This window comes from Homo sapiens, chromosome 19, assembly GCF_000001405.40.
Source record: "Homo sapiens chromosome 19, GRCh38.p14 Primary Assembly".
NCBI lineage: Eukaryota > Metazoa > Chordata > Mammalia > Primates > Hominidae > Homo > Homo sapiens.
The window spans coordinates 53,785,577-53,805,615 of NC_000019.10; the positions used below are offsets into that span (position 1 = coordinate 53,785,577).

At 50.3% G+C, this 20,039-nt stretch overlaps 1 protein-coding gene, 1 long non-coding RNA gene and 4 other non-coding genes across 20 annotated transcripts in view, besides 4 other annotated features; 3 read left to right on the plus strand and 3 right to left on the minus strand.

Moving 5' to 3' along the window:
• Positions 1 to 1,445: 1,445 nt before the first annotated feature.
• Positions 1,446 to 2,649, minus strand: LOC124904767 (uncharacterized). The gene is made up of 2 exons (XR_007067336.1): positions 2,311 to 2,649; positions 1,446 to 2,183 (listed from the first exon to the last, which is right to left on the minus strand). It is a non-coding gene; the product is annotated as an uncharacterized LOC124904767 (long non-coding RNA).
• On the plus strand, positions 2,099 to 2,165 carry MIR371A (microRNA 371a). The gene has a single exon (NR_029864.1). It is a non-coding gene; the product is annotated as a microRNA 371a (primary transcript).
• Positions 2,101 to 2,166, minus strand: MIR371B (microRNA 371b). The gene has a single exon (NR_039909.1). It is a non-coding gene; the product is annotated as a microRNA 371b (primary transcript).
• On the plus strand, positions 2,314 to 2,380 carry MIR372 (microRNA 372). Its single transcript, NR_029865.1, has one exon. It is a non-coding gene; the product is annotated as a microRNA 372 (primary transcript).
• A 479-nt stretch (positions 2,650 to 3,128) lies between the features above and the next one.
• Positions 3,129 to 3,197, plus strand: MIR373 (microRNA 373). The gene has a single exon (NR_029866.1). It is a non-coding gene; the product is annotated as a microRNA 373 (primary transcript).
• Positions 6,570 to 7,070: an enhancer, noted in NCBI's record as "H3K27ac hESC enhancer chr19:54295400-54295900 (GRCh37/hg19 assembly coordinates)". NCBI's record gives its function as "activates a minimal SCP1, AML or CMV promoter by ChIP-STARR-seq in primed H9 embryonic stem cells {active_cell/tissue: H9 hESC(primed)}" and the evidence as "EXISTENCE:reporter gene assay evidence [ECO:0000049][PMID:30033119]".
• Positions 7,071 to 7,571: an enhancer, noted in NCBI's record as "H3K27ac hESC enhancer chr19:54295901-54296401 (GRCh37/hg19 assembly coordinates)". NCBI's record gives its function as "activates a minimal SCP1, AML or CMV promoter by ChIP-STARR-seq in primed H9 embryonic stem cells {active_cell/tissue: H9 hESC(primed)}" and the evidence as "EXISTENCE:reporter gene assay evidence [ECO:0000049][PMID:30033119]".
• The window catches only part of NLRP12 (NLR family pyrin domain containing 12), a 30,820-nt gene continuing 18,788 nt past the window's right edge, over positions 8,008 to 20,039 (minus strand). For 5 of the 15 annotated variants that reach the window (XM_017027462.2, XM_017027463.2, XM_017027465.2 and 2 more), the window contains 6 exons: positions 19,704 to 19,874; positions 18,376 to 18,546; positions 15,651 to 15,821; positions 12,667 to 12,837; positions 10,283 to 10,453; positions 8,008 to 8,560 (listed from right to left, as the gene is read on the minus strand). In XM_017027462.2, coding sequence (XP_016882951.1) covers positions 8,473 to 8,560; positions 10,283 to 10,453; positions 12,667 to 12,837; positions 15,651 to 15,821; positions 18,376 to 18,546; positions 19,704 to 19,874 — 943 coding nt within the window. In that variant the 3' untranslated portion in view covers positions 8,008 to 8,472. 15 annotated transcript variants of the gene reach the window in all.
• Positions 11,466 to 11,966: an enhancer, noted in NCBI's record as "H3K27ac hESC enhancer chr19:54300296-54300796 (GRCh37/hg19 assembly coordinates)". NCBI's record gives its function as "activates a minimal SCP1, AML or CMV promoter by ChIP-STARR-seq in primed H9 embryonic stem cells {active_cell/tissue: H9 hESC(primed)}" and the evidence as "EXISTENCE:reporter gene assay evidence [ECO:0000049][PMID:30033119]".
• Positions 12,548 to 13,048: an enhancer, noted in NCBI's record as "H3K27ac hESC enhancer chr19:54301378-54301878 (GRCh37/hg19 assembly coordinates)". NCBI's record gives its function as "activates a minimal SCP1, AML or CMV promoter by ChIP-STARR-seq in naive H9 embryonic stem cells {active_cell/tissue: H9 hESC(naive)}" and the evidence as "EXISTENCE:reporter gene assay evidence [ECO:0000049][PMID:30033119]".

Here is a 20,039-nt window from a genome sequence, read left to right on the forward strand (position 1 = left end):
GGAACTAGGTTTAACCAGAAAGGTTGAGCACGTACTCCCGCAGCTGGCTAGGATTACAAATGGGAAGGAAACCCTGGCCTCCTGGGGCCCCAAGTCTTCCCCTTCCTTGAGTCATTCATTATTTTGAGCACTTACCATTTTCAAGCCCCTCCTCACCTCTCCAACACCCACCTTTTTGAGTTCCTCTCTATGCCTCAAGGTCAAAGGAACTCTAGTGGTTTCATTAAATAAAATCAGAAATGTTTCCGCTTTTTTATCAAAGTTGCTCTCAAAAATGTTCACTGCCGCACTGTTTTTTTCTTTTCTCCCTCTCTTTTTTTTTTTGAGACTAAGTCTCACTCTGTCGCCCAGAATGGAGTGCAGTGGTGTGATCTCGGCTCACCGCAACCTCCACCTCCAGGGTTCAAAGGATTCTCCCACCTCAGCCCCCTGAGTAGCAGGGATTATAGGTGTGAGCCACACCGCACCCAGCTTTTTTATTTTTTTAAAATTTATTATTATTATTTTTGAGATGGAGTCTCACTCTGTCACCCAGGCTGGAGTGCAGTGGGGCGATCTTGGCTCACTGCAACCTCTGCCTCCTGGGTTCAAGCAATTCCCCTGCCTCAGCCTCCCGAGGAGCTGGGACTACAGGTATCCACCACCACGCCGAGCTAATTTTTGTATTTTTAGTAGAGACCATGTTGGCTAGGATGGTCTCGATCGCTTGACCTCGTGATCTGCCTGCCTCGGCCTCCTGAAGTTCTGGCATTATAGGCATGAGCCACTGTGCCCAGCCTATTTATTTATTTTTTGAGACACGGTCTCACTCTGTCCCCAGGCTGGAATGCAGTGGCACAATCTTGGCTCACTGCAACCTCTGCCTCCCGGGTTCAAGCAATTCTCTTGCCTCAGCCTCCCAAGCAGCTGAGATTACAGGTGCACACCACCATGCGTGGGTAATTTTTGTATTTTTTTGGTAGAGACGGGGTTTCGCCATGTTGCCCAGGCTAGTCTCGAACTCCCGGCCTCAAGTGATCGTCCGCCTCGGCCTCCCAAAGTGCTGGGATTACAGGTGTGAGCCACTGCGCTCTGCCAAAATACTATATTTAAATATTTGTTGAGTGGATGACTGGTGGAATGATTTTCTTCTGGTTATTTCTCTGTGTTTTCCAATGTATTTATAACGAATACATGTTGGCGTTACTAGTAATAGGGATCACCTAATTTCTATTTGAATCAGTGTTTGAAAAAGTTTATGAAGGTGTGTCTGACTAAGGCAAGCTAGGATCAAAGGGAGCAGGGTGGCTTGGGGCGGAGACCAGGGGGAATGAGAGGGTGGGAAGGGGTGGGCTTTAATCCTATCAAAGTTGAGTGGGCTCTCACCCTATATAAGAACGCAGCTGCAGTGAACCTTGTTCTTTCTGGCAGACCTGAGGTGTGGACGTATCATTGGCCTCTGTGAGTATTGCTATGTTATTTTATTTTCTTTCATTTTACTTTATTTTTTAGGGTCAGGATCTCACTGTCGCCCAGGATGAAGTGCACAGGTAGGATGATGGCGCCTTGCAGCCTCGACCTCCTGGGACTCACCCTTTTAGCCTCCAGTAGCTGGGACCACAGGCGCGCACCACCATTCCCATGTGCGTTTTTCTGCTTTTTTTTTTTTTTTTTTAGGAGAGATGGGGTTTTCTATGTTATCCAAGCTGGTCTCGAACTCCTGGGCTCAAGAGCAATCCTACCACCGTAGCCTTCCGAGTAGCTGGGACTACAGGCTTGAGCCACTCCGCCCAGCCGGGCTGTACTTTTGTTCTATTTCTGTGATTTTTTTTCAGTCTTAAGGACGAAGGCCCCACTGTCCCTCACACGTGTTCCTTCCTACTTGCATTGTACTCAGTCCTCATGGCTTGCATCTGGAGGCTATGGGCGGGGGAGTGCTTTGAATATCTATACGTGGAAAGCCTTGTTTTTTACTTTTTAAGAAAGGGTCGTTAAATTCGTGCTTTGTAGACCTTCAACAGCTCATCAAGGGCTACTCTCCACCTCCTTGCTTAAAAGCCTCTTCTGATGGGTAAGTGCTTCCACTTGCGATCGCCGCCTTGCCGCATCCCCTCAGCCTGTGGCACTCAAACTGTGGGGGCACTTTCTGCTCTCTGGTGAAAGTGCCGCCATCTTTTGAGTGTTACCGCTTGAGAAGACTCAACCTGCGGAGAAGATACCATTTTGATTGGGTGAGGGGGCGGGTAGCAGGATGGCCCTAGACCCTGCCTATGGCCGTTTCCTCGTGATATAAATTTCTTGGCCGGGGCTCTTGCAGATGGAGCTGCTCACCCTGTGGGCCTCAAATGTGGAGCACTATTCTGATGTCCAAGTGGAAAGTGCTGCGACATTTGAGCGTCACCGGTGACGCCCATATCAACGGATGCCGTGGAGCTCGGTCTTCTGCAGGAACTAAAGAGCCTGTGGTTTCGATTCCCAGCCGGAAACTGTCTTGGGTACAGGTCCCTTACAGCGTCTGGCTGTAATGGCTCCGGAAAACCTGGGGAAGGGAAGGGGGCCTCCTGGGCTCTCACCTGACACAACTAAGGGAATCTGGGTTAGATGGTGAAAGGAAGAGAAGGTTCAGAGGGCGGCTGTGCGCCTGCGCCGGGCGCGGCGGCTCACACCTGTAATCCCAGCACGTTGGGAGGCCGAGGCAGGCGGATCACGAGGTCAGGAGATCGAGACCATCCTGGCTAACACGGTGAAACCCCGTCTCTACTAAAAATACAAAAAATGAGCCGGGCGTGGTGGCGGGCGCCTGTAGTCCCAGCTACTTGGGAGGCTGAGGCAGGAGAATGGCGTGAACCCGGGAGGCGGAGTTTGCAGTGAGCCGAGATCGCGCCACCGCACTCCAGCCTGGGCGACAGAGCAAGACTCATTCTCAAAGAAAAAAAAAAAAAAAAACAGCAGCTGTGACCAAGGGGCTGTATGCACAAAGAAAGGAATGCTTTTTGCTGTTGGTGTTATAATTGATATGTAACTTTCCTCTTCCCCCATAGCAAGCAAGTTTATTGCTGACATTTAACATGTGCTTGGATGATTGGAGGCCAACCTCTTGTAGGCAAGAAAGTCACAGTGATGGCAGATCCTCGCGAGGAGCTCATACTGGGATACTCAAAATGGGGGCGCTTTCCTTTTTGTCTGTACTGGGAAGTGCTTCGATTTTGGGGTGTCCCTGTTTGAGTAGGGCATCACGAACCATCCTGCTTCAAGGGAGCCTGCGGGTCTGACTGCAGCTTCAGCTATGACCTGGAGTTCCCGGGCTTCTCTGCGGGGCACCAGTCTGTATGCTCCATTTTAGATAATAAAAATTGGCATATTCTGGGGTGGGCAGGATACGGGGTTCACCTGCAGATGAACAGGGCAGGAAAAGCTTGATGGGGTGTCGGGGGAATCTGGTTGGCCTTAAAGGGAATTTGGGGTCCTGTTCCTGAATTTGGTAGGCAGCATGCATGTAAGGCTTGAAGTGGGTTTGGCCAGAGCATGGGCTGGAGTGCTTCCACCCTGCTACACGGACAATGCCACAGTCTCACTTTTCCTAACTTTTTTTTTTAATAAAATGTGAACAACATCATGTGTTTCTGGTCTATTGGGTTCCTCTGCCACCCACAAGTGCTGGGATTACAGGCATGAGCCTCATGTCTGGCGTTACTGAACCTTCTTCTATGACCCAAGTACATTGCCTAAAAATACTTGTCAGTATTTTGTGCTTCCCTTCTACCCCTGCTAGAACTTAGAGTTATGCTCTTTGAGAGTTCTGCTCTTTAAACTTCAAACAAGTTTAAAAAGTAAGGCCGGGCACAGTGGCAGCACTGCCGAGGCCGACGCAGGCTGATCATGAGGTCAGATCAAGACCATCCTGGCTCACACGGTGAAACCACATCTCTACTAAAAAATACAAAAACATTAGCCGGGCATGGCGGTGGGTGCCTGTAGTCACAGGCTGAGGCAGAAAGGGCATGAACCCGGGAGGTGGAGCTTGCAGCCAGCCGAGGTTGTGCCACTGCACTCCAGCCTGGGTGACAGCGATAACTGTCTCAAAAAATAAAAACCACCCAGGCTGAAGTGTGGTGGCACCATCACAGCTCCCTGCAGGCCTGAGCTCCCTAGATCAAAAGATCTTCCCATATAAGCCCCCCCTCACCCCACCCTTAGTAGCTGGCACCACAGGAGTGTCCCCGCCATGCTCCACTAATGTTTAGTAGAAATTGGGGTCTCATACATTGGCCAGCTTGGTCTGAAACTTAGGGGGAATCAAACATCCCTCCTTTAGTAGAGATGGGGCTTTACTGTCTTGCCCTGGGTGGCCTCCCTGGGATGATGGGTGTGAGCCACAGTGCCAGGCCTAAGTTCATATTTGGAAGGTTTTTTTGCTTCAGATGGTCTCGTGCTCTCGCTCAGGTTGGAGCGCAATGGCGCAATCTTGGTTCACTGCAACCTCTGCCAGCTTAAGCGATTCTCCTGCCCCCGCCTCCCAAGTAGCTGGGATTACAGGCATAAGCCACCACGCCTGGCTAATTTTTTGCATTTTTTAGAGATGGGATTTCTCCACGTTGGCCAGGCTGCTCTGGAACTCCTGACCCCAGGTGATCCACCCACCTCGGCCTCCCAAAGTGCTGGGATTATAGGCGTGAGCCACCACGTGGGGCCTTCAGTAGGTTCTTAGTTGCTGTTTGCCCTATCACTGGTTTCCGGGTCTGCTGGCCACTATCCCCTGTAAGTTTTCCTATCCCCTGTAGGTGTTCCAAACCCTTGCGGCTGCTTTGCCCACTCCACAGTATCTGAACTGAAGTAAGATCTCAAATTCAAGGGAGTTTTGTTTTGCTATTTGTACCCGCAATTCATAAAGCAGTTGTAGCCTCTGTCCCAATACCGCCACCACTGGTGGGGAGTCCGCCACGGTAACCAGTAAGACTTCTCTTTATATTTGACCTACCTGGGCCTCCTGTCATCTTTTCTACGGGCAGCTTGGGGATTGTTAGTTGAGGGTTTTTTGTTTTTGTGTTTTTTTTTTTGTTTTTTTTTTTTTTTAAAGAGATGGAGTCTCGCTCTGTCGCCAGACTGGAGTACAATGGCATGATCTTGGCTCACTGCAACTTCCACCTCCCAGGTTCAAGCGATTCTTTTGCCTCAGCCTCCCGAGTAGCTGGTATTATAGGCACCCACCACCATGCCCAGCTAATTTTTTTTGGATTTTTAGTACAGATGGCGTTTCCCCATGTTGGCCGGGCTGGTCTCACTAAACTCCTGACCTCAAGTGATCCACCCACCTTGGCCTCCCAAAATTCTGAGATTACAGGTTTGAGCCACTGCGCCCAGCCTTTAGTTGAGTTTCTTAAGCTTGTTTAGGGTTTAGCCTGTATGGCCAGCAGGGTGTAGGTGGGGGTGGTTTGTAAGCAGGGCTGTTTGCTTCAGAAGCAGCTGTGGAAACAGGACTGAATGCAGACATATAAAGAATATTGGGTAAATAACTTTTTAAAAAATTTAGAGATAGGATCCCACTATGTTGCCCAATCTGGTCTTGAAACCTAAACAATCTCTTATCCCAAAGTGCTGGGATTGCAGAAAGCTTAAGGCACAGTTTTACGTGGTAATGGTGGGCCATTTTTAGTTTCTTTTTTGTAGACGATCATGTCATCTAGGCTGGAATGTAGCGGTTCTGTCGAGCTAGGTGTAGCCTCCACTTCCTGGACTCAAGCATTTTTCCTCAGCTTCAGTAGCTGGGTCTATGCATGAATACCCCTTCTGGGGTAGATAGATAGTAGTACATAGAGTAGATAATTTTTTTGTGTTCAGGCGGCACCTTAAGGTTGGTGTAAAAATTCTTGGCCTTCTAAAGAGCTGGAATTAGACATGAGCTGTTGCACCTGGCCAATGGGACAATTATGTCTACAGGACTGAATCAGTATCTGATCTCTGGAGTTGTAAGGTCACTTTTTCTGAAACTGCCTCAGTCTCCTTGCAGGTTCTGGTCTGTAGATCTCCAGTGTGTGGGCTGAGCACAGCATGGGGACCTGATTTCCCACCGGGCAGTGACATAGTTTAAAGATTCTTAGTTCGAATTCCTAATAATGGGAATATAGGTTTCTGTGTATTGAAATGGGAATATGCATTTTTTTTTTTTTTAGAGTCTTGCTCTGTCACTAGGCTGGAGTGCAGTGGCACAATCTCGGCTCACTGCAACCTCCGCCTCCTGGGTTCAAGTGGTTCCCCTGCCTCAGCCTCCTGAGTAGCTGGGACTACAGGCGCCCTCCACCACGCCCTGCTAATTTTTTGTATTTTAGTAGAGACGGGGTTTCACCATGTTGGCCAGGATGGTCTTGATCTCCTCACCTTGTGATCCACCCGCCTTGGCCTCCCAAAGTGCTGGGATTACAAGCGTGAGCCTCTGCACCCAGCCAAGGGAATATGGATTCCTCTTTTTTTTTTTTTTTTTTTTTTTTTTGAGACGGCGTCTCTATCACCCAGGCTGGAGTGCAATGGCGTGATCTCTGCTCACTGCAACCTCTGTCTCCCGGGTTCAAGTGATTCTCCTGCCTCAGCCTCCCGAGTAGCTGGGATTACCCGCATGTGCTATCACGCCTGGTTAATTCTATATTTTTATTAGAGACAGGGTTTCTCCATGTTGGTCAGGCTGGTCTTGAACTCCCGACCTCAGGTGATCTGCCCTCCTTGGCCTCCCAAAGTGCTGGGATTACAGGTGTGAGCCACCACACCCTTTTTTTTTTTTTTTTTTTAAGATGGAGTCTCGCTCTGTCGCCCAGGCTGGAGTGCAGTAGTGCGATCTCGGTTCACTGCAACCTCTGCCTCCCAGGTGCAAGCGATTCTCCCGCCTCAGCCTCCCCAGCAGCTGGGACTATAGGTGCATGCCACCACACCCAGCTAATTTTTTGTATTTTTAGTAGAGATGGGGTTTCACTGTGTTAGCCAGGATGGTATTGATCTCTTGACCTAGTGATCCGCCCGCTTCGGCCTCCAAAGTGCTGGGATTACAGGCATGAGCCACCGTGCCCAGCCTAATTTTTGTATTTTTAGTAGGTTTCACCATGTTGGCCAGGCTGGTCTCGAACTCCTAACCTCAGCTGATCTGCCTGCCTTGGCCTCCGAAAGTATTTGGATTACAGGCATGAGTCACCGCATCTGGCGGTATTTTTGTTGAAAGCACAGTGTATAATAGGTTATGGCCAGCCTACACGTGGCCTTGTAGGTGTCAGTTCTTGGCAGGGCCCAGTGAATTCCAGGCAGGGGGCCATCCTGACATGCCTGCCACGTTAAGATTTCAGACATTATCCCCTCCAGCAAGGGAGGATCAGGGCTGTTGGCATAACAAGCATTCTGAGGGTTAGCTTGCATACCAGTCTCTTCCCAAATGCTGAGTTGCCCCATGTATCCTGTGACATTTGAGAATAGGCTTTCCTCAACTTGGCACAATTTGCCTTTGGACCAAGTGCTTTGTCCTGTGCATTCCTTGCTGGATGTTGGCATGCATTCCTAGTGTCGTCCACTAGATGGCAGTGGCACCCACCCCAGAGCTCAAATATTACTATGTTCCGATGCAGCCAGGGCTTGGCAGGGCTGGGTGGCCTCTGAGGGCCCCTACTGGCCATTTTTCACCGTCTCCCTCTGTTGCCCAGGCTGGGGCGCAGTGATGCAATGACAGCTCACTGCAGCCTCGACCTCCTGGGCTCAAGCGATCTTCCCACCTCAGTCCCCAGAGTAGCTGGGACTACAGGCATGTGCTGCTACTCCTGGGTAATTAATTGTACTAATTAATAGTAGTTGGCTAATTAGTAACAGTGGAGTCTTGCTATGTTGCTTAGGCTGGTCTCTAACTCCTAGACTTAAGCAACCCATCTTGCCTCCACCTTTGAAAGTACGGGGGTTACAGGCGTGAGACACCGCACCTGGCCCCTGTTGGGATTTACCCCTCCTGTTAGGGGCCATCAAACCTCTCTTAGTTGGTCATCCCTTAAAGCTCCGTCAAACTTTTTTTTTTTTTTTTTTTGAGATGGAGTCCCACTCTGTCGCCCAGGCTGGAGTGCAGTGGCGCGATCTCGGCTCACTGCAACCTCCACCTCCCGGGTTCAAGCGATTCTCCTGCCTCAGCCTCCTGAGTAGCTGGGACTACAGGTGCCCGCCACCATGCCTGGCTAATTTTTTTTTATTTTTAGTAGAGACAGGGTTTCACCATCTTGGCCAGGCTAATCTCAAACTCCTGACCTCGTGATCCACCTGCCTCGGCCTCTCGAAGTGCTAGGATTACATACATGAGCCACCACGCCTGGCCAGCTCTGTCAAACATTAATTTGATCCCAAGCAGAGGGACTTTTGATCTCAATCTGCATGAGTCTGTCTCTAGGAAGGAGGCTGATCATTATGCTGGGGGGGTGATGAGCACCCTCCCATCTTCCTCTGTCCAGATCTCAGGGGAGAGCCAGCAGATAGGACCATTCAGCAGCCAATGTCCAAATAAGGTTTTGTTACTCGAAGCGCTGCCAACCTACTGTGGGTCATTTTATTCAGGTCCATCCCAAATAACCTGTGGACACAAGAGTTGATATTATTCCAGTGTACTACTGTGGCATTCAATTAATAAGCCTTAAGTATCTATTGTGCACTACCGTGGTAAGATAATTCCATGATCCTCCAGAAATTCCACCCAACGCTGCTGGAAAGTAGGCTTACTACATGCTACATGCAAGTCCCCAAGCTGTGTTAACTGCATAATTTTTTTTTTTTTGAGACACAGTCTCATTCTGTCACCCAGGCTGGAGTGCAGTGGTGCAATCTCAGCTCACTGCAACCTCCACCTCCCAGGTTCAAGCGATTCTCCTGCCTCAGCCTCCCCAGTAGCTGGGACTACAGGCGCCCACCACCACGCCCGGCTAATTTTTTGTATTTTTAGTAGAGACAAGGTTTCACCCGTGTTAGCCAGGATGGTCCTAGTCTCCTAACCTCGTGATCCGCCCACCTCGGCCTCCCAAAGTGCTGGGATTACAGGTGTGAGCCACCACACCTGGCCAATTCATAATTTATCATAGCCTTATGAAGATGCAACTATGTTCTCCATTTTTTTTTTCTTTCCCCAAGATGGAGTCTTGCTCTGTTGCCCAGGCTAGAGTGCAGTGGCATGATCTCAGCTCACTGCAACCTCCGCCTCCTGGCTTCAAGCGATTCTCCTGCCTTAGCCTCCCAAGTAGCTGGGATTACAGTCACGTGCCACCATGCCTGGCTAATTTTTGCATAGAGCCACCCGCTCCCAGCCGTAAGTTTTTGTATTTTTAGTAGAGATGTGGTTTTGCTATGTTGGCCAGGCTGGTCTTGAACTCCTGGCCTCAAGTGATTTGCCTGCCTTGGCCTTTTTTTTCTTGAGACAAGTTCCTGCTGGGTCACCCAGTGGCGTAATCATGGTTCACTGCAGCCTTGAACTCCTGAGCTCAAAGGATCCTCCCACCTCAGCCCCCTGAGTAGCTTTGATTAGAGGTGTGTGCCACCATACCTGGTGTGTGCGTGTGTGTGTGTGTGTGTGTGTGTGTGTGTAAAGAAAGCAATTTTCCTAACTCAGCCTGTCAAAGTACTGGGATTACAGGCGCCATCCCCTGCACCCAGCCTAAACTTTGATTGCATCACTGCACTCCAGCCTGGGCCACAGCAAGATCCTGTCCAAAAAAAAAGCAATTGGAGTTTGAACCCAGGCAGAGTAATTCTAGATTCTCACTCGAATCACAGTGACCTCCAATGCAATTGGTGAGCCACGATGGTCCCCTTCAACAGACAAGGAAATTTTTTTTTTTTGAGATGGAGTCTCACTCTGTCACCCAGGCTGGAGTGCAGTGGTGTGATCTTGGGTCACTGCAAGCTCCACCTCCCGGGTTCACGCCATTCTCCTGCCTCAGCCTCCTGAGTAGCTGGGACTACAGGCGCCCGCCACCACGCCCGGCTAATTTTTTGTGTTTTTATTAGAGACGGGGTTTCGCCATTTTAGCCAGGATGGTCTCGATCTCCTGACCTCGTGATCCACCCGCCTCGGCCTCCCAAAGTGCTGGGATTATAGGTGTGAGCCACCGCGCCCGGCCTCAGACAAGGAAATTATCCAAGGTCACACAGCCAGTAGATGACATAGCTAATATGTGGCCTCATCTGTATGCCCCCTAATTGCATACACCAGTGCATAACGTATTTGTCCATCCAGCTTATCTACCCTCATGCTCCCAGCCCAATGTCCAGCCTCCTCCAGAAAGAACTGGTCATCATCCCTCACCAGAGGACTCGGAGTTTGCAGCCAGGATGGCTCAGCCGCTTGCAAAGCAGTCGGACACCTGTGTCCCCTAGGGCGTTGTTGGTCAGGTAAAGGTCGGTCAAGGTCTGGTTGATCCCCAGGGTGAAGTAAAGATTCTCACAAGCCTTGGCTGTGAGGCCACAGCTATCCAGCCTGGTGAAGATAAGGAGTTGGTTAAGGTAACACCAGGGGCTACTTATGTTATTCGGAGGCAGTGTCTCACCCTGTCTCCCAGGCTGGAGTACAGTGGTGAGATTTCTGTTCACTGCAACCTCCGCCTCCCAGGTTCAAGCGATTCTCCTGCCTCAGCCTCCTGAGTAGCTGGGATTACAGGTGTGCACCACCACCAATTAGCATGGCTAATTTTTGTATCCTTTTATTTTTGTTTTGTTTGAGATGGAGTCTCCCTCTGTTGCCCATGCTGGAGTGCTGTGGCATGATCTCGGCTCACTGCAACCTCTGCCTCCCGGGTTCAAGTGATTCTCCTGCCTCAGCCTCCCCAGCAGCTGGGACTACAGGCGAGAGCCACCACACCCAACTAATTGTTGTATTAGTAGAGAGAGGGTTTCACCTTGTTGGCCAGAATGGTCTCAATCTCTTGACCTCGTGATCCGCCCGCCTCAGCCTCCCAAAGTGCTGGGATTACAGGCATGAGCCACTGTGCCCGGCCGTAATTTTTATATCTTTAGTGGAGAGGGGATTTCACCATGTTGGCCAGACTGGTCTCAAACTCCTGACCTCAAGTGATCCACCAACCTTGGCCTCCCAAAGTGCTGGGATTATAGGCGTGAGCCACTACGCCCAGCCTCTGAAACATTTTAAAAAATTATCTGGGTTAGGCCGGGCGTGGTGGCTCACGCCTGTAATTCCAGCACTTTGGGAGGCCGAGGCAGGCAGATCACCTGAGGTCGGGAGTTCAAGACCAGCCTGACCAACATGAGAAACCCCGTCTCTACTAAAAATACAAAATTAGCCGGGGTGGTGGCGCATGCCTGTAATCCCAGCTACTCGGGAGGCTGAGGCAGGAATTGCTTGAACCCGGGAGGTGGAGGTTGCAGTGAGCCAAGATCGTGCCACTGCACTCCAGGGTGACAGGGAGACCCTGTTTTAAAAAAAAAAAAAATCCCAAATAAACTAGATGATGCCTCATCCCATTCTAAGTCCTTCAGATTAGGGCTACAGCTGGCCTGGCAGAAAGGTGAGGGAGAAAGTCACAATTAACATTTGATTGGAATTTACAGAGCACCAGATTGAATTATTATTTTTTTTTCTCGAGATGGAGTCTTTCTCTGGCACCTAGGCTGGAGTGCAATGGTGTGATCTCCGCTCACTGCAACCTCCACCTCCTGGGTTCAAGTGATTCTCCTGCCTCAGCCTCCTGTGTAGCTGGGATTACAGACACCCACCACCACGCCAGGCTAATTTTTGTATTCTTAATAGAGATGGCCATGTTGGCCAGGCTGGTCTCAAACTCCTGACCTCATGATCTGTCCGCCTTGGACTCCCAAAGTGCTGGGATTACAGGCATGAGCCACTGTGCCCGGCCTGAATTATTATTTTTGAGACAGAGTCTTGCTCTATCACCCAGGCTGGAGGGCAGTGGCATGATCTCAGCTCACTGTAATCTCGCCTCCCAGGTTCAAGTCATTCTCCTGCCTCAACCTCCCGAGTAGCTGGGATTACAGGCATGCGCCACCACACTGGGTTAATTTTTGTATTTTTGTAGAATGGTGTTTCACCGTTTTGGCCAGGCTGGTCTCGAACTCCTGACCTCAGGTGATCCACCCGCCTCGGCCTCCCAAAGTGCTGGGATTGCAGGCATTAAGCTACCGTGCCCAGCCTCTTTTGTAATTTTTAAATTTTAATTTTTTTTTTTTTTGAGACAGAGTTTCACTCTTGTTGCCCAGGCTGGAGTGCAATGGCATGATCTCGGCTCACTGAAACCTCTACTTCCCAGGTACAAGCGATTCTCCTGTCTCAGCCTCCCAAGTAGCTCGGATTACAGGCATGTGCCACCAGGCCCGGCTATTTTTTTTGTATTTAGTAGAGACAGGGTTTCACCGTGTTAGGCTGGTCTTGAACTCCTGACCTCAGGTGATCCACCCACCTCGGCTTCCCAAAGTGCTGGGATTACAGGCATGCGCCATCGCGCCTGGCCTTAAGTTTTTAAAATTTTAAGTCGGGTAGCACCCCCAAATCAGAATAAGTTCAGAGAGACTTCCTGTCTTTTCTTTCCACCTCTCTTCTTGCTACCTGAATCTTTTGTAGTGAAGCAGGATAGTTCATAAATAGAAAAATGAAGGATGAGAAGGCGCTTCCACTGTCCAAACGTGACCACTGCCACCCCGTCACTCCCCGATGCTCACCACAGTTTCTGGAGTCTGCAGGCGGGATGTTGCAGCCCCTCAGCCAGCAACCACAGGCCCCAGTCTCCCAGGTCGTTGAAACTCAAGTCCAGCTCCCGGAGGTTGTGGTTGGCCTGGAGCACCACAGAAAGACCCTCACAGGCGGCAGAGCCCAGCCGGCAGATGCCCAACCTGCAAAGACAGGATGCTAGGGCGGAGTGGGAGGCATTCCTCCTGCAAAATCTGCTGGGAGGGCCCTGTGCCAAGCCCTGTGCTGGTTGCAGACAGAGGGACAGACTCAATCTCTACCCTTGAGAGACAAAAAGAAAAAGACGACAGAAGTAGGAAGATGAGAGGAAGGGAGGAATAAGAGAACAGAAGGAAGCAACTAAGAATCAGGCCAGGTGCCCTGGCTCATGCCTGTCATCCCAGCATCTTGGGAGGCTTGAGGCTGGAGGGTTTTTTGAGGTCAGGAGTTTGTGACCAGTCTGGACAACCAATAACTTGTCTGTACAAAAAAAAATTTTTTTTCTTTTTGCGATGGCGTTTCCCTCTTGTTGTCCAGGCTGGAGTGCAATGGTGCAATCTCGGCTCACTGCAACCTCCACCTCACAAGCTCAAGCGATTCTCCTGCCTCAGTCTCCCAAGTAGATGGGATTACAGGCATGTGGCAACATGCCCGGCTAATTTTTGTATTTTTAGTACAAGCGGGGTTTCACCATGTTGGTCAGGCTGGTTTCGAACTCCTGACCTTAGGTGATCCACCCGCCTCAGCCTCCTATCTACAAATTTTTTTTTTTTTTTTTTTTGAGACAGAGTCTTGCAATGTCGCCCAGGCTGGAGTGCAGTGGCGTGATCTTGGCTCACTGCAACCTCCGCCTCCTGGGTTCAAGTGATTCTTCTGCCTCAGCCTCCTGAGTAGCTGTGACTACAGGTGCACACCACCACGCCCAGCTAATTTTTGTATTTTTAGTAGAGACGGGGTTTCACCAGTTGGCCAGGATGGTCTCCATCTCTTGACCTCGTGATCCACCCGCCTCAGCCTCCCAAAGTGCTGGGTTTACAGGCATGAGCCACCGCGCCCAGCCGCGTGTGTGATTTTTTGTTTTTTGTTTTTTGCTGGTGCCTTGATAAAAAAAATACACAAAGTGTGTTTTTTGAGCACTTCTACCCACGTCTTATACTAGTCACTAGGAGATACAGTTGGCATAGCTCCTATGCTTGTGGAATGCCACCACACACACATATACACAAATTACAAATTTTTCTTTTTTTTTTTTGAGATGGAATCTCGCTCTGTCATCCAGGCTGGAGTGCAGTGGCAAAATCTCAGCTCACTGCAACCTCCGGCTCCCGGGTTCAAGCAATTCTTCTGCCTCAGCCTCCTGAGTACCTGGATATCAGGCGTCCGCCACCATGCCTGGCTAATTTTTATATTTTTAGTAGAGACGGGGTTTCACCATGTTGGCCAGGCTAGTCTTGAACTCCTGACCTCAGGTCATTCTCCCACCTTGGCCTCCCAAAGTGCTAAGATTACAGGTGTGAGCCACCGCATCCTGCCTTCAGATTTCAATAAATGATGCTGAGGGGGAAGTATGAGGTCACATAGGATCATAAATCTAGGAACCCAGATTTTAGCTAGGGATTAGAAAGGGTGTCCAGCTGGGTGTAGTGGGTCACACCTGTAATCCCAGCACTTTGGAAGGCCAAGGCCAGAGGATCTCCTAAGGCCAGGAGTTTGACACCAGCCTAGGCAACAAATCGAGACCTTGTCCCTACAAAAAATAAATAAAAATTGGCCAGGCGCAGTGGCTCACGCCTGTAATCCCAGCACTTTGGGAGGCCGAGGCAGGTGGATCATGAGGTCAGGAGAGAGAGACCATCCTGGCTAACACGGTGAAACCCCATCTCTACTAAAAAAATGTTTTTAAAAATTAGCCGGGCATGGTGGCGGGCACCTTTAGTCCCAGCTACTCGGGAGGCTGAGGCAGGAGAATGGTGTGAACCCGGGAGGTGGAGCTCGCAGTAAGCTGAGATCGCGCCACCGCACTCCAGCCTGGGCGACAGGGCAAGACTCGTCTCAAAAAAAAAGTAAAAATTAGCCATCTGTGGTGGCATGCGCTTGCAGTCCCAGCTACTCAGGAGGCTGAGTTGGGAGGATGGCTTCAGCCCAGGATGTCGGGCTATGATCACACCACTCCACTCCAGCACTGGTGACAGAGCAAGACCCTGTCTCAAAATACAAAGTAAAGAGTGTTCAGAAGAAAAATTGAACTTCTCCAGGCAAAGAGGGGACAGAGAGCAGAAGGCATGCCAGGGAATAAGAATTGCTTGTGCAAAGGGCCGTGCGTCAGAAAACCCCCCCCTTTTTTTTTTTTGAGACGGAGTTTCGCTCTTGTTGCCCAGACTGGAGTGCAATGGCTCCATCTCAGCTCACAGCAACTTCCACCTCCCGGGTTCAACGGATTCTCCTGCCTCAGCCTCGCGAGTAGCTGGCATTATAGGCATGCACCACCATGCCTGGCTACTTTTGTATTTTTAGTACAGATGGGGTGTTTCTACATGTTGGTCAGGCTGGTCTCGAATTCCCCACCTCAGGTGATCCTCCCACCTCGGCCTCCCAAAAGTGCTGGAATTAAGGTGTCAGCCACCATGCCCGGCCAGAAAAATCCTTTTAAAAAGGCTGATGTAGGCTGGGTGCAGTGGCTCAAGCCTGTAATCCCAGCACTTTGGGAGGCCAAGGCAGGCAGATCATGAGGTCAGTAGATCGAGACCATCCTGCTAACATGATGAAACCCTGTCTCTACTAAAAATACAAAAAATTAGCTGGGCTTGGTGGCGGGCGCCTGTAATCTCAGCTACTTGGGAGTCTCAAAAAAAAAAAAAAAAGGCTGATGTAGTAGCTAGAGTTTAGGAGCAGAGACAACCTGGCCTCCGTGGTCCCAGGTGAGAGGGCTGCGTTCATGGATTGGGACTCCTAGCGTGGTGAGCAAAACGGGACTCACCGCAGGGTCTGGAGCTTGCACGTGGGATGCCTGAGGCCCTCACACAGCAGCAGCACCCCGAGGTCCCCCAGCTCATTCAGGCTCAGGTCCAGCTCTCTCAGGCTCTGGTTCACACTGAGAGTTGAGGCCAGCTCGTCACAGGCAGCAGCAGTGAGGCGGCAGATCTTCAGCCTGCACAAAGTCCAATTCAACAAGCATTATGGAGGCTTTCCTTTCTTTTTCTTTTTTTTTTTTTTTTTTTTTGAGACAGAGTCCCACTCTGTTGCCCAGGCTGGAATGCAGTGGTGCAATCTCGGCTCAGCTGCATCCTCCACCTCCCATGTTCAAGCGATTCTCCTGCCTCAGCCTCCTGAATCGCTGGGACTACAAGCGTGTGGCATCACGCCTAGTTAGTTTTTGTATTTTTAGTAGAGACAGGGTTTCTCGCCATGTTGGCTAGGGTGGTCTCGAACTCCTGACCATGGGTGATATGCCTGCCTCAGCCTCCCAAAGGACTGGAATTACAGGCGTGAGCCACTGCGCCTAGGCCCCCAATCTTAACAGTAATGCATTTTCAGACAATCTAATTTAAAAATGGGCAAAAGGGCCCGGCCTGGTGGCTCACGCCTGTAATCCCAGCACTTTGGGAGGCCGAGGCTGGCAGATCACCTGAGGTCGGGAGTTTGAGACCAGCCTGACCAACATGGAGAAACCCCCTCTCTACTAATAATACAAAATTAGACTGGGCACAGTGGCTCATGCCTGTAATCTCAGCACTTTGGGAGGCTGAGATGGGTGGATCACCTGAGGTTGGGAGATGGAGACCATCCTGGCTAACATGGTGAAACCCCGTCTCTACTAAATACAAAAAATTAGCTGGGCGTGGTGGCGCATGCCTGTAATCCCAGCTACTTGGGAGGCTGAGGCAGGAGAATCACTTGAACCCAGGAGGCGGAGGTTGCCGTGAGCTGAGATCACGCCATTGCACTCCAGCCTGGGCAACAAGAGTGGAACTCCATCTCAAATAAATAAATAATAAATAAAAATAAATGAGCAAAAGGCTTGAATACACATTTCTTCAAGGAAGGTGTACAAATGGCCAAAAAGCACCTGAAAAGATGCTCAATCTCAATAATCATTGGGGAAATACAAATGAAAACCACGATAAGATAGCATCTCATACCCATTAGGATGCCTACTATTAAAAATAAATAGAATGCGGCCGGGCATGGTGGCTCACGCCTGTAATCCCAGCACTTTCGGGGGCTGAGGCGGGCGGGTCACGAGGTCAGGAGATCGAGACCATCCTGGCTAACACGGTGAAACCCCGTCTCTACTAAAAATACAAAAAATTAGCCAAGCGTGGTGGCAGGCGCCTGTAGTCCCAGCTACTAGGGAGGTCGAGGCAGGAGAATGGTGTGAACCCGGGAGGCGGAGCTTGCAGTGAGCAGAGATCACACCACTGCACTCCAGCCTGGGCGACAGAGCAAGACTCTGTCTCAAAAAAAAAAAAGAAAACTGGGGAAGATGGTACATTTTATGTTGCATGTATTTTACCACAATTAAATTTACTTTTTATTTTATTAGGGACAGGGTCTCACCCTGTCACCCAGTCTGGGGTACAGTGGCTTGATCACAGCTCACTGCAGCCTTGGCCTCCGAGGCTCCTGAATAGCTGGGACTCCAGACACATACCACCCACCCCAGCTAATTATGTTTATTTTTTGTAGAGATGAAGTCTCACTGGTTCCCAGGCTGCTCTTGAGCTCCTGCACTCAAGCCATTCTCCTGCCTTGGCCTTCCAGAGGGTTGTGATTACAGCTGTGAGCCACCGCGCCCTGCCCTTCTGAATATTTTTGATCCATGGTTGATGAAATTCACGAATGCAGAACCCGTGGACACAGAGGGCTGACTGTGGCTCAGTGGCATGAAGTAGTTTCACGCTACTGGGAAATCATCACTGCTATCCATCTCTGGAACTTTTTTTTTTTTTGAGACGGAGTTTCGTTTTTGTTGTCCAGGCTGGAGTGCAATGACACAGTGTTGGCTCACCACAACCTCCGCCTCCCAAGTTCAAGTGATTCTCCTGCCTCAGCCTCCCGAGTAGTTGGGATTATAGGCATGTGCCACCACGCCTGGCTAATTTTGTATTTTAGTAGAGACGGGGCTTCTCCATGTTGGTCAGGCTGGTCTCGAACTCCAGACCTCAGGTGATCTGCCCACCTCGGCCTCCCAAAGTGCTGGGATTACAGGCGTGAACTACCGCACCCGGCCCATCTCTGGAACTTTTTCATCTTCCGAAATGGAACCTCTGCTCCCGTTAAACGGTAACTCCCCATTTCTTCCTGTTCTAGGCCTTGGCAGCCACTATTCTACTTTGTTTTTTGAGATGGAGTCTCACTCTGTCACCGTGGCTGGAGTGCAGTGACGTGATCTCAGCTCACTGCAACTTCCGCCTCTCAGGTTCAAGTGATCCTCCTGCCTCAGCCCCCTGAGTAGCTGTGATTACAGGCGTGTGCCACCACATCCAGCTAATTTTTGTATCTTTAGTAGAGAGGGGGTTTCACCGTGTTGGCCAGGCTGGTCTCGAACTCCTGACCTCAGATGATCTGCCCTCTTTGGCCTCCCAAAGTGCCGGGATTACAGGCGTGAGCCACTGCGCCCGACCTGTGGATGCATTTTTATACCATCATTCAATATGAAGAGATTTGCCATTTTATTATAGTTGACCCCAGGAAGAACTCACCACAAAGTCCGTAGTCTGCAGACTGGGTGCCTCAGTCCCTGGCATAGTAACCTCAGGCCCAAATCCTCCAGTGCATTTCCTGTCAGGTCCAACTCAACCAGATGTGGGTTGGTGCCGAGCACAGAAGCCATCTCCTGACAAGCCCCGGACTCCAGCTGACACTTCCTCAACCTTGGGAGGAAGGAGAGGTTGAAGGGGACGCCATCTTGCTTTTCTATGTCGTGATCACTCATGCTCCAGCCTGTTATTTTATTATTTAGGAACAGGTTGTTGCTCTGTCACCCAGGGTGAAGTTCAGTGGAGTGATATCAACTCGCTGAAGCCTCGACCTCCAGGCTCCCGTGATCCTCCTGCCTCAGCCTCCTGAGTAACTGGGAATACATGTGTGCACCACCACACCTGCCTAATTTTTTTTGTTTGTTTGTTTTTTGTTTTTTTTGGGTTTTTTTGTTTTTTTTTTTTTTTGAGGTAGAACCTCATTCTGTCACCCAGGCTGGAGTACAGTGGCGTGATCTTGCCTCACCGCAACCTCCACCTCCTGGGTTCAAGTGATTTTCATACCTCAGTCTCGAGTAGCTGGGACTACAGGCTGGGCTACAGGTGTGTGCCACCACGCCCAGCTAAGTTTTGCATTTTTAGTAGAGACGGGGTGTTTCTCCGTGTTGGCCAGGCTGGTCTCGAACTCCTGACCTCAGGTGATCCGCCTGCCTTGGCCTCCCAAAGTGCTGGGATTATAGACGTGAACCACCGCTCCTGGCCCATACCTGGCTAATTAAAAAAAAAAAATTTTTGTAGGTCGAGTGCAGTGGCTCACACCTGTAATTCCAGCACTTTGGGAGGCCAAGGTGGGTGGATCATTTGAGGTCAGGAGTTCAAGACCAGCCTGGCCAACGTGAGGAAACCCCATCTCTACTAAAAATACAAAAAAGTTAGCTGGGTGTGGTGGTGGGTGCCTGTAATCCCAGCTACTTGGGAGCCTGAGGCAGGAGAATCACTTGAACGCAGGAAGTGGGGGTTGCAGTGAGCCGAGATTGTGCCACTGCACCCCAACTTGGGCAACATAGCAAGACCCCGTCTCGGGAGAAAAAAAGAAGAGGTGGGGGATGGCCCCAGGGACTCTTCATCATGTAGAATTGAGTGTGGAGTCAGAGGAGGGCAGAAGCAGGTCTTCCAAAGTGCCTAGAGTCCAGGGCCAGGGTCTTAGGTCATGGGGTTAAGGGCCAGCCCTGATTTAAAGGTGGAGATTTGGGGATTACCAGCATTTTGTGATATTTCATGCCCCAGGAGACAATGAGCTTAAGAAGTTGCTCCCGGGGATAGAGACTCACTGAATCATCTGCAGCCTGCACTGGGGATGCCGCAGGCCCTCGCAAAGCAGCATCATGCCTGGGAATCCAACGCCGTTGCCACTGAGATCCATCCTTGTCAAATTCTTATTGGCTATGAGAGCTGCAGAGAGGTCCTCGCAGGCTGAGCTGGAGATGCGGCACCTCTTCAGCCTGGGGTGGAAAAGAGGAGAAAGGAGCTGGTCATTTCTTTTGCTCCAGTTTTGTGGATTATTTTCTTTTGCTTTTTTTTTTTTTTCTGAGACAGAGTCGCTCTGTCACCCAGGCTGGAGAGCAGTGGCATGATTTTGGCTTACCACAACCTCTGCCTCCTGGGTT